The 12,707-nt window shown below is 50.2% G+C and overlaps 1 protein-coding gene and 1 pseudogene across 5 annotated transcripts in view, besides 1 other annotated feature; one reads left to right on the forward strand and one right to left on the reverse strand.

The window, feature by feature from the left end:
* The window catches only part of MARK2 (microtubule affinity regulating kinase 2), a 71,911-nt gene that overhangs the window by 38,957 nt on the left and 20,247 nt on the right, over positions 1–12,707 (forward strand). Inside the window, exon 1 of one of the 5 annotated variants that reach the window (NM_017490.4) lies at positions 10,471–10,898. The exons of the other annotated variants lie outside the window; for them this stretch is intronic. The gene's annotated coding sequence lies outside the window, so the exon portion shown is untranslated. Of the gene's footprint in view, positions 1–10,470; positions 10,899–12,707 lie in introns of those variants that run through there. 5 annotated transcript variants of the gene reach the window in all.
* On the reverse strand, positions 4,521–4,619 carry RNU6-1306P (RNA, U6 small nuclear 1306, pseudogene; annotated as a pseudogene).
* Positions 10,451–10,560: an enhancer, noted in NCBI's record as "active region_4878". NCBI's record gives its function as "activates an Ori minimal core promoter by ATAC-STARR-seq in GM12878 lymphoblastoid cells {active_cell/tissue: GM12878}" and the evidence as "EXISTENCE:reporter gene assay evidence [ECO:0000049][PMID:35858748]".

Here is a 12,707-nt window from a genome sequence, read left to right on the forward strand (position 1 = left end):
GGTATGAAGCACAGCCCCCGCATCGGTTGCCTAGTAGGGAAGACAGTTGTAAAGAGCATTTGCCCCTGTTATGTCAGGGTACTGTTGCAGGTTGTCTTTTCTCCTCTAGCTGGAAGTTGTTCTACCCAGTCTTCCTTAATTAGCTCTTCTTTTGTGTAAGGCAGCACCCATTTAAAATTCTTTTCCTCCAGCCTCATTCCTCATCTCCATTTGGGTTTATATCTCCTCAGAACCTCTCTCCTACCCAGCCTTAAGCTCTACCCCAAATGCTTTGAAGCTCTCTTGTTCAAGTCTTTTTTTTTTTTTTTTTTTTTTTTTGAGACAGAGTCTCTCTCGCTCTGTCGCCTAGGCTGGAGTCAGTGGCACGATCTCGGCTCACTGCAAGCTCCGCCTCCTGGGTTCACGCCATTCTCCTGCCTCAGCCTCCCGAGTAGCTGAGACTACAGGTGCCCACCACCACGCCCGGCTAATTTTTTGTTTTTTTAGTAGAGACAGGATTTCACCGTGTTAGCCAGGATGGTCTCGATCTCCTGACCTCGTGATCCACCTGCCTCGGTCTCCCAAAGTGCTGGGATTACAGGAGTGAGCCACCGCACCTGGCTCAAGTCTTCTTGATTCAAGCCCTCACCCAGAGCTTGAAGACTAGGGAGCCCCCGTGTCTGCTGCCCATGGTGCTTGGAGAGCAAAGATCTGTTCCCGGGTCCTGAGTTGGAACTCTGAATTCATTTCCTGTTCTGGGCTATGGTTTAAGTCTTAAGTACAATTCACGTACCCCTTGAAATACTATGCTGGGACCTCATGGGCTGGCCTGAGAACACAGCTACCATTTGTAACATGTTTCTATGGAAAAAGAGTTCCTTCTTAGAACAGAACTTTTGGTAACTTGGGGATTTCTTGACTAATATGCTGCAACAGATTTGCATTTGCCTGTGGAAGTGTCTCTTTATTTTGTATTCAGCTGGGCACGGTGACTCACGCCTGTAATCCCAGCACTTTGGGAGGCCGAGGCAGGCAGATCACTTGAGGACAGGAGTTTGAGACCAGCCTGGCCAACATGGTAAAACCCCATCTCTACTAAAAATACAAAAAAATAATCTGGGCCTGGTGGTGAGCGCCTGTACTCCCAGCTACTCTGGAGGCTGAGGCAGGAGAATCACTTGAACCCAGGAGGTAGAGGTTGCAGTGAGCTGAGATGACACCACTGCACTCCAGCCTGGGCGATAGAGTGAGACTCTGTCTCAAAAAAAAAACATTTAAAAAATCACATTTTGTGGTCATGGCACTATCTATCACACAAGTAAGTTGTCCTCCTATATGCCAAATGACAGAAAAGAAGCACCCTCCTCTTCCCACCCAGAAAGGTTGCTAGAGAGCTACCCTTGTCTTCTGTGATTGCCTTGAGGGGCAGGTTTGTCTGGGTTCTCCATGTCAGCTGATTTGATCCATAGTCCAGTAGCACCTGAAACAGGATGCCCTCATTCCACAACTTAGGTGCCCTCTCCTGCTTGGTTTTTTAATGATCTGCTACAGGAGAAAGATAGCACCTCTCCCTTCAGCAGGAGCAGCCCAGTAAGGGCTTGCTTCTAGAAAGATTGGCCAGTTGGATTTTTAGTGGTCACTTAAGTGGAGTAGCCACTTTGCAGCCTGGCCCAACAGGGAGACAGTTCTGAGGTGAGGGTGGCAGTGACAGCCTTGGGGTGGTTTCTGATGTGCTCTGACCTCTGGCCATGGTGACTTCTGGAGCAACAAACTTTGTCCCAGTATTTTTTTCTGACATTTCCTCCTCCTTATTCAACTCCCTCTTTGAAACTGGAGGAGTAGGGAGGCAGTATTTGTTCACTTCCAGAGAAAGATGCAGCAGGAAGAGGCATATGTCTTGTTCTGCACTTTCCAGCAGCAATGCTGGGACTAGGGGGTCTAGAAGGCCTGTTTCCCAGCTCCAGGCTGGATCTTATCCTCAGCATACAAGCAAGTTTTAAGGAAACAACATTGGAAAGGGCAGAAACAAAGGGTTAAATCTGTACCCAGGTAGAAAGACTGTTGCATAAATGCTGAGTTTTTTTTTTGTTTTTTTTTTTAAGATCTCATGCTTCTTTTTTACTTTGTGTTGGCAAAAACCCCAGGAGAAGATGGGAGATTCTGGGAGGAGATGATTATGCTGGGTGAGTCAACTGAGCTCCCCAGCTGCCGTTTTTAGTTCTTTTGCTTTTCTGTAACAGGAGGCAGTTTGGGGAGGGGTTGGGGGCAGGGTGGGAATGCTGATTTTTGCAGCAGGACAGGAGGCAGGTGTGTATGGGTGAAATTATTTTGACACCCTAGAGTTAACCGGGCCTTAGAGTCAGTACATTGGTTCAAGTAACAAATATCAAAGCAGAACTCTTAGTGTGGCAAACAATAAATAATTGTCTCCTAGATTCTTATACAAGTCACTGTCCGTCCCCAATTGGTAGCTCTTAGAATGGCTCGAGTTGCATTCATTGTCACAGCAAGACACAATGGTTTTGATAGCAAAGCAGTAGAGAAACTAAATGTAGAGAGGCAGAGAGAACTGTATTAAGTCTGAGGACCTGGTGGTTGTCATGGGCAGCAGGAAGTGTGAAGGAGAGGGTTTTCCCTCCGATGAAAGGAAGGCTAGGGCTTGATTCAGGGGAGCAAGTGGGATGGGCCCTGCTGGTCCCTGGCTGTGCCTATATTCTGAGTCTGTCTCCAGCTCACCTTGGTGATCACTCACTTTTCATCCATCACTGGGATAGGGGATCTCGTGGCTCATTACCCTCATGGGTATTTTTTGCAGAGTACACTGAAGTGGGCTATCAGTTATCAGTTGGTCCCAGAGACCGTCATGAAGACATCGCAAAATGTTTTCTTATGTATTCATTTGTGCACATTTATTAATTCAGTACTTTACTGAATACTGTGCTGGGCATTGTTCTGGGCCATGAATAAGACAGACCTGGCCTGGTGCAGTGGCTCACGCCTGTAATCCCAGCACTTTGGGAGGCCAAGGCAGGCAGATCACCTGAGGTCAGGAGTTCGAGACCAGCCTGGCCAACATGGTGAAATCCCGTCTACTAAAAAAAAAAAACAAATTAGCCAGGCATGGTGGTGGGCACCTGTAATCCCAGCTACTTGGGAGGCTGAGGCAGGAGAATCGCTTGAACTCGGGAGGCAGAGGTTGCAGTCAGCCGAGATCACGCCACTGCACTCCAGCCTGGATGGCCAGAGAGAAACTCTGTCTCAAAAAAAAATACCAAGGTCCCTCCTTTTGTAGTGTAGTCTAGCAGGAAGGACAGATAGTAACCAACCAACTTCAAGGGCAACGAATGCCTCGAAAGAGGGGAAATGGGGCTGGTAGCAAGAAATTGTGATCTTCCTTCCTCTACCCTTATCTCTTGGGGTCGAGAGTGGGGTCGAGAGTGGGCAACTTTAAAGATCAAAAAGTTGTGCCTCTCTTGTTCCCTAAGTATTGTAACATGGGTCAGCTAGGTGTGGGCACTGTTGGGCACTGAGGGTATATGAAGGTGAGGGAGATACTGGCTCTCATCTGTCAGAGCATGAGGGGGTTAAGGTATGGGGACACAAACAAGAAATCAATGGGGCTGGGTGTGGTGGCTCACGCCTGTAATCCCAGCACTTTGGGAGGCTGAGGCAGGAAGATTGCTTGAGCCTAGGAGTTTGAGGCCAGCCTGGGCAAGATGGCAAGATGCCATCTCTACAAAAAAAATGAAATAAATAAAAAACTAGCCAGGCATAGTGGCACACACCTGTAGTCCCAACTATTCGAGAGGCTGAAGCAGGAGAATCCCTTGAACCCAGGAGTTTGAGGATGCAGTGAGCTGTGATTGTGCCATTGCAGTCCAGCCTGGGCAAGAGAGCAAGACTTCATCTCACAAAAGAAGAAGAAATGAAGAGTACAGATAGAGCGCTGAGAGTCTAGAGAAGTGAGTCTAGAGAAGTGAGTGACCACTCCCCGCTAAGACGGTGTCTGGATTTGAGATAAACAACGGATAAGAGGACTTACCTGGATCACAGGAAGGCGCATAGGATAGATGACCACTTTCCTTTTAGTATGTGTAGATCTGGGTAGCTCTTTGTACCACAATTCTGACCCATTCTTTTTTCTTATTATTTTTATTTATTTATTCAAAATAATAATTTTTTTTTTGAGACAGTCTTGCTCTGAGCCACCATGCCCAGCCTGAAATAATAAAAGTTTTAATCTTTTAAAAAATATGGGCCAGGCTTAGTGGCTCACACCTGTAATCCCAGCACTTTGGGAGGCCGAGCTGGGCGGATCACCTGAGATCAGGAGTTCGAGACTAGCCTGACCAACGTGGAGAAACCCTGTCTCTACTAAAAATACAAAATTAGCCGGGCATGGTGGCGCATACCTGTAATCCCAGTTACTTGGGAGGCTGAGGCAGGAGAATCACTTGAAACCCGGGAGGCGGAGGTTGCAGTGAGCCGAGATCACGCCATTGCATTCCAGCCTGGGCAACAGGAGCGAAACTCTGTCTCAAAAAAAAAAGGAATGCTTCACAAATTTGTGTGTCATCCTTGCACAGGGGCCATGCTAATCTTCTCTTTATTGTTCCATTTTTTTGTATATGTGCATGTACAGAGTAGTGGAGCTGGGTTATCACTACAGTCTAACTCCAGAATGACACCCTTCACTACTATACCATATATGGTGCCCCAGTATACAGCAGTGGAGCTAGGAAGAAAAGCCCAGTGTCTAGAGAGCCCAGAAAATATGCCAAGAACATATATACTAGGCAAAGAAAACGAGGTTAGGAGGAAGCCCAGCCACCTCAGCTGCACTGGTTAGGATCTGCTGCCTCCCCACAGTCCTCTGTAAAGTGAGCCAGACCTCTATGCTGCAGGCTTCCTTCTGCCTACCCCCACCACCCCCATCCCCCAGAGCCCTGGGCTACTGGCAGGCTGGCTCTCCTGTGATATGGAGGAACTTGTTGGTCTCCATGGTTACGGTAACCCACTGGTATGGGAGGAACCGCATAAAGTGCGAGGCTGGCAGTGTGAGCTTCCCTCAGCCCTTGGCACCATGTGGTACTGGTATGTCGGCTGTTTCATGGACCTTTTCTGGGAGGAGGGAGTTAAGGAACTGATGAAGAAGGGAAGAACCCTGGCAGGACCACTGTCGTCATCCTCTGGGCCACACAGAGGGCGAAGGCATGGGCACCATGTCATTCAGCTACTCCTCCTGCAGGATGGTTTTATGTTAGGAAAGAGGGTCCTCTTTGCCTGATTGCCCAGCCATGGCAGAATTTGACTTTTCCTTGTTATAGAGGGAATACCAGGATGACAGGAATCAACTTAGCTATACTGGTACTTACAGTCAAATTTCTAGGTATTGTAGCTCTTCCCAGAGCCCAGAGAACCCTTGGAGAGGGGAAACAATGGTTCCTACCCAAAAATGAAGCTAGATAATAATAGAATACATCATCAAGACATTACTGAACACCACGTTCTATGGTAAACACTGACATGGATTTTCCTTTTTTTTTTCCTTTGAGACAGGGTCTTACTCTGTCACCCAGGCTGGAGTGCAGCAGTGTGATCACGGCTCACTGCAGCCTCAGCCTACCTCCCTGGGCTCAGGTGATCCTTCCACCTCAGCCTCCCAAGTAGCTGGGATTGCAGGCACTTGTCACCACACCCCGGCTAATTTTTGTGTTTTTTTGTAGAGCCTGTGTTTTGCCATGTTGCCCAGGCTGGCCTCGAGTTCCTAGGCTCAAGGGATCTGCCTGTCTTGGCCTCCCAAAGTGCTGGAATCAGAGGTGTAAGCCACCACGCCCGGCCAGATTTTCTCATTTAATCTTCACTCTAATTCTGTGAAATGGGTACAGCTAGTATCTTTATGTCCCAAATGAGGAAACAGATTTGGAGAAGTTATGTCACTTTGCTCATGTTCAGTCAGCTGGTAAGCAACAGAGGTGGGCAGAGCGACTATAGTAAGTTTTCTGTATAGTTTACCTCTTTTAAGTTTCTGGAAGGCAGGAGCCAGATCGCACTGAGCTTTGCAACTGGAGCCAGGGCTCCAGAGTACTGCTCAACAAAGGTTTGCTAGGGCAACAGTAGCTGGGGATTTAGCGACCAGACCCCAGCAAGCAGATTCTCAGGGATGAAAGTAGTCCTGGAAGCCTCTAAAGCCCTGGTTGCTCAGTAGAATCTAGTTTCAAGAGGAGCCCAGCATTTCAAGTGGCTCTGAAGACAGAGGAGATTTGGAGAGTGCTCTTTGCATTGTGGCTTCCAGGCCTGAAGGAGAGTGAGCTGGAGGTTGCTCTCTGTTCTCACCTCTTATGCCATGTCAGGTTTTTCCCAGGCAGGCTTGAGTCCTGGGGGAGCCCCGCCTCATGGCCCAGGCTGCAGTGCTGATCTCCCTGCCTTGTGGTGAGGATTGCAGCTCAGAGAGCTAAAGGGCAGTAAACCACCTTGGTTTTGGCTTTGTGCTTAAGTTGCAGGCTCTTCTGGTTATCCTTTGTGAAGGAGGCTCTTACCCTGGCTGGAAAGAGGGAGCAGCCCCTGCCTCCCATCTACAATGGGACAGTAAAGGAATATGGCTGTTTCTCAAGTGGAACAGTCACAGTTAATTTTGGGGGTGGGAGCATCCAGGCTTTCCACTGGTGAGTGCCTGCCAGTTTTACAAGCTCTCCTACACTGAATGCTCCTCTGGTTTATTGACTCTTGGCAGTTGATAGCGATAGTTGCTCATGGCAGTTGATAGCGATAGTTGCTCAGAATCAAAGGATGAAAAGACAGTTTCTGGATACAGTGAGGGAGGAAGGGTTAAAAAACAAAGGACTCCAACTCCCAGTTACAAGATGTCCCATATGGCCATGCGCAGTGGCTCACTCCTGTGATCCCAGCACTTTAGGAGGCCGAGGTGAGAGGATTGCTTGAGCCCAGGGAGTTCGAGACCAGCCTGGGCAACATGGAGAAATCCTGTCTGTACAAAAAATACAAAAATTAGCCGGGCTTGGTGGCCCATGCCTGTAGCCCCAGGTATTCAAGAGGAAGATCACTTGAGCCCAGGAGGCGAAGATTGCAGTGAGCCAAGATCGTACCACTGCACTCCAGCCCGGGCAACAGAGCAAGACCCTGTTTAAAAATAAATAAATAAATAGGGACTTGCCACAGGCACATGACCTTTCTTAAGAGACAAAGTCTTGTGCTGGGAATGGTAGCTCATGTCTATAATCCCAGCACTTTGGGAGGCCAAGGTGGGCAGTTCACTTGAATTGTTGAGTTCAGTACCAGCCTGGACAAGCTTGCAAAACCCTATCTCTACAAAAAATACAAAAATTAGCCGGGCGTATTGCTGTGGGCCTATAGTTGCAGCTATTCGGGAGGCTGAGGTGGGAGGATGGATTGAGCCCAGGAGGCAGAGGTTGTAGTGAGCCAAGATCGTGCTGCTGCACTCTAGCCTGGGTGATAGAGTCATACCTTGTCTTGAAAAAAAAAGAGAGGCTGGGCGTAGTGGCCCATGTCTGTAATCCCAGCACTTTGGGAGGCTGGGGCGGGTGGATTACTTGAGGCCAGGTGTTCAAGACTAGCCTGGCCAAGGTGGTGAAACCCCATCTTACTAAAAATACAAAAATGATCTGGACGTGGTGGCACGCACCTGTAATCCCAGCTATTTGGGAGGCTCAGGCAGGAGAATCACTGGAACACAGGAAGCGGAGGTTGCAGTGAGCCGAGATCGCACCACTGCACTCCAGCCTGGGTGACAGAGCAAGACTCCATCTCAAAAAAAAAAAGAGGCCGGGTGCAGTGGCTCAGACCTGTAATCCCAGCACTTTGGGAGGCCAAGGTGAGCAGATCACAAGGCCAGGAGATCGAGACCATCCTGGCCAACATGGTGAAACCTCGTCTCTACTAAAAATATAAAAAAATTAGCTGAGTGTGGTGGCGGGCGCCTGTAATCCCAGCTACTCGGGAGGCTGAGGCAGGAGAGTTACTTGAACCCGGGAAGCAGAGGTTGCGGTGAGCCGAGATTGCGCCACTGCACTCCAACCTGGGCAACAGAGTGAGACTCTATCTCAAAAAAAAAAAAAAAGAGACGAGAGTCTAATTCTGTCACCCAAGCTGGAGTGCAGTGGCACGATCATAGCTCACTGTTACCTCCACCTCCTGGACTGAAACGATTATCCTGCCTTAGCCTCCCGAGTAGCTGAGACTACAGACCCATGGCACCATGCCTGGCTAATTTTTGAATTTGGAGAGAGAGGGTCTCACTCTGTTGCCCAGGCTTGTCTCGAATTCCCAGGCGCAAGTCGTCTTCCCACCTTGGCCTCCCAAAGTGCTGGGATTAAGGCATGAGCAACAGTGCTCAGCCCCGTGTGGCTTTTTTTTTTTGAGACAGAGTCTCACTCTGTTGCCCAGGCTGGAGTGCAGTGGTGCAATCTCTGCTCACTGCAACCTCCACCTCCCAGGCTCAAGCAGTTCTCATGCCTCAGCCTCCGAGTAGCTGGGATTACAGGTGTACGCCACCACGCTCAGCAAATTTTTGTATTTTTAGTGGAGATGGGGTTTCGCCATGTTGCTTAGGCTGGTCTCGAACTCCTGACCTCAAGTGATCCACCAGCCTCGGCCTCTCAAAGTGCTGGGATTACATGGTGGGGGCCACCATGCTTGGCCCCCATGTGGCTTTTAATCTAAATCCTACCCTATCTCTTCCCAGCTTTTCTGTTTGTAGTCAGTGCTTTGTATTTCCTCAGTTTACAAAATCCCTTACTGTCTCCCACAAATAGGATTGAGGAAACAGTCCTTCTGTCACATTGCAAAGCCCTAGAAAAATGAAGGGACTAGAAAAATGAAGCTGTTTGATCCTGCTCTGGTTCTCAGTCTACCAGTGAGTGAAGGGCCGGAGGGCCCGGGCAAGCTTGAGCCCAGGATCCAGTGGGCCCACTGAAGTCAGGGCCCACTTTTGGGGGGCTGGGAAAAGGAAGGGTTGCTGTGGGACCACTGGGATAGGCCTTTAAACAGCACTTCACCATTGGCCTGAATCAAACATTGTCATTCCCAGTGTCCCGAGCACCTTCCCTGAGTCTTCATACCTTCTGCCTCCTAGCTTATGGAGGAGGAGCCAGGGGCTTATCTTTTGGGGGAAATGAGAGCACGATTAGGCATCAAGAAGGGTTGATGAGAAACTGGTAAGGGGGACTGTCAAGAACAGCAGAGTGCTGAAATGGTGACAAAAGCTCTGGGCTCCGGCCCCAGCTCTGTACTGAGAAGCTGTGAGATTTTGGGCAAGTCTCATAACCTCTGAATGCCAATTTCTCAATGGAAAACAGGGAGACTACCTACCCTATAGGTCTGTGTTTGGAGAAAACAAAGTGTAAGCGCTGGACATACAGTAGCATCAGAAATGCTGAATCCGTTGGCCAGGGCTCATGTGTAAGGCAAACATTTCTTGGCCACTCCTGAGTAGCATGGTCTTGCAGGAATATATGCTTAAGTGCTGTGAGAGCACAGAGGAAGCTTTGCCCTTCCCTAGAGGGTTAATGGCTACCAACGTGAGAAGGTCACGGAGTTCCTTAATGAGAGGGAGCCTAGCCTAGAATAGGGGATGAATGAGAAATTGTTCTGAGAACCAGAGGCAAGGCTGCAACCAGCACATAGACAGGGGTCGTTGGTCTAGAAGGGGAGTCTTCTCCAGATGAGAGACAGCCAGCTTGCCCTGTGCTCACCATGTGCCCAGATAGTGGGGGCTTAGCAGGAGGAAGGTGTGAGGAATCCCAGGCCTTTGGAATTCCTTGAGAAAGCAGTGTTGTTTTGAAGGTAAGGCAGGGGATTGGTGACTGGAAACTTGGAGGTGAGTGAGAACCTAGGGATGAACGTTCAGAAGCAGGGCTGGAAGGAACTTAAAAGGGACATTTGGATTGTTTCTAGCTTTTGGGCAAAATCTAGGATTAAATATGATTTTTTCATTGATAGAATGCTCTATCAGTGATAAAGGCTCTTAATCTAGAAAACATACACCTCATAGGGGGCTTTACAGAGTCCCCAAACTCCCTGAAATTATGCTCAAAATATTTTGTGTCTAAGTGGAATGTGCATGTTTCCAAGGTTAAGCACTGCTTTTTTAGGAAGTAGGAGGTCCGTCCGCCACTGTCAGCTTGCTGGTTTCTGCTTACCCTCCTCCCCACTTCGTTCTTGAGGGGGTGGTTTGCTGGTCTTTGGCAGGGCCGCCACTCTGGGTCAGCACATCTGAGTCACACATGTTCCTCCCCAGCCCTATTGGAGGCTTTGTTAAAGTCATCTGCCCCTACCCAGGTCCCACCTGCCACAGGTGAGCTAGGGTTTTATGACAGCCGTGGCTGCAGTGAGTCTCCTCGACCTCTCGCCAGCTGTTACCCAGCAAAGCACCTTGGGGAGGGTGGGGCTGCCCACTTCCGGGGAGGGGGGGAGGGGGAGGGGAGAAGGAAGTTGATCTAAACCCGCCTCTTTCTCTGTCTCCCTTCCTGCCCTATTCCCCTCCTGCCCCTTCCCTCCCACCTTGCTTCTGGTGTGCTGTCCTGGAATTGCACGCGCTTCCTGACCACCAGGCTCTGGCCCTTGAGAAGCCAGCGGGGCTTTGTCCCTGTTGCTCTCCTTGCCAAACCCAGTCTCTCTGCTAGTGGTGGTTTCGGTTGCGACACCGTCCAGGTTCCCAGGCAGGAACCGCTCGGCCTGGCTGCTTAGCTACTTTTCACTGAGGAGGTGGTGGAAGGTGTCGCCTGCTCTGGCTGAGTAAGGGTGGCTGGCTGAGCCGGCAGCCCCCGCCCTAGGCCTGGCTCTTCCCGGCCTCTGTACTTTGCCCTCGCTGCCTGACAGGTTCTGCTGTGGGCTCTGCTGAATGGAAGTCGCTGGTAGTCCTTTTCCCTTTCTCCAGTCGGGTATGTTGTCCCCCTTTTTACTCTAGGATTGCCTCCTCCTCTTTCTTTCCTCTCATCTCAAACATAGGATCTTTAGAGAGTTGCTAAGGGGCGCCCTGCCTGAGTCCAGCATAGTAATATTCATGGGAAGGGTGTCCAGATGTGGAAGAGGCATTGACTAGGAAAGGAAGAGGGGGCACATACCAGAAGGGTCTCCCCTGAGAACAAGCAGCTTGACAAGTGGGCGAGGAGGGGCTGGTGGGAGGCAGAGGCCTGAGGCCTCAGAGAGGATGCTCCCGTGCTACAGTGAGGGGGAGCCTAGGATCTGGGGCCATTGCCCAGGACTGGTGCCCAAGGGACACTTTTCTCCCCCAACTCTATAGTGCCTGGCTTACTCTGCTTCTGGCCAGGGAATATCACCCCTCCTGGTTTGGCTCCTTCTCAGCCCTCGGGAAGCCAAAGGACACTTGAAGCCAGCCCTGAATGCAGAGCCCCAAAGCATGAGCTTCTCCATGGGACAACTGTTGGTAGGAGCCTCCAGCATTAGGGCAGGGGCCCTGCCTACCTGAGTCAGCGCCAGGCCTCTCGGGGTGGAGGCTGTCTTCCGGGCAAGCCTGACAACACACCTAGGCCGAGTCTGAGATCCCAGGCGGAAGGGGCCTGACAGGCCCAGTGGATGCAAAACTATCTTTTTATTTTCTCCTCCATGTCCTGCCTTCTCTCTTCCTCTCAGTAGCAGACCCCAAAGCTGTTTCAGCCCTACTTCTGAATCAGGCCTGCTTAGTAACTACTTGGTTTGCCTTTTGGTTCCAAATAACTGCCTTGCAGGGTGACCCCTTATTCTTTCTAAAGGCTACTTGAGAGCCATAGGGTCTACTCTTGACAGACCTCCTCCATCCTTTAGGGCCTGTCTAGAGTATGATATAGGCCAGAGCTTTGGGAGTGCCTGGTGTGCCACGTCTTACTATAAGCAGGGAGGATGGTGGTAGAGGGGAGAGCGTGGCTTTTGCCAGGTCCTATTGAGTTGGCCCAGCAGGGCAGCTAATCCTCAGCCTGCCATCCTGTTGGTGAGACCCAGGGCCAAGCTGAATGGTGCAGCCAGAACCAAAAAAGAGAAACTCTCTCTCCATATTAGCCACTGCATACTCTTACCTCTTTATCCTTCAGGGAAGAAGCTAGGTGAGGAAGTTGCCTCACTTGGGGCCTTGGCCCAAGAAGCATTTCTGTTGGAGACTCTCTCCTCTCTTTTCCCTTTTTCTTTTCTCTGCTTCCTTCCAGTGGCTTGCCTCCTTACCCTGGCTCACATCCCTGCTGTGGGAAACATCTTACAGCATAGAAGAAGGGGTGCAGGGGTAAGTAAGGGAAGGATTGAGCACTTGGAGTCCTCTGAGTTGGATGGTTCAGTCCCGAAAAGGGGGTTGGTGACTTTGGAGCAGGGGATCAAAGAGCAAGCACCAGTGCTTGTTGCTTCTCTGGCTCCTGAACAAGCAGAACCTCCTCTCTTTCCCTGTCCTGGATACCCAGCGTGGGACCAGCCCTTCACAGCCACCCTGTCTTGAGTTCCTGACTCTCCTCCTTCCCTCTTTTGAAGGCTAGAGGTGCTGGTGTCGGCTAGCAACAGGTTGAGGGAGTGTGGCATTTCACCAGGTCTGGAGGAGAGCGGGCACTCAACCTGGCCCCTTCTGCGGAAAGGCCCGTAGCATCTCTTGTCAGCCTTCAGCTGAGCTGTAGCTGGCTTAGCGGGCTCAACTTCGATTTGGAAGGTTGTTTTGACAGTGAGACTTCTGGATTGGCAGACAGTAGTATTTGGGGACATAATGATTGCTCTTA

This window comes from Homo sapiens, chromosome 11, assembly GCF_000001405.40.
Source record: "Homo sapiens chromosome 11, GRCh38.p14 Primary Assembly".
In the NCBI taxonomy this organism is placed as follows: domain Eukaryota; kingdom Metazoa; phylum Chordata; class Mammalia; order Primates; family Hominidae; genus Homo; species Homo sapiens.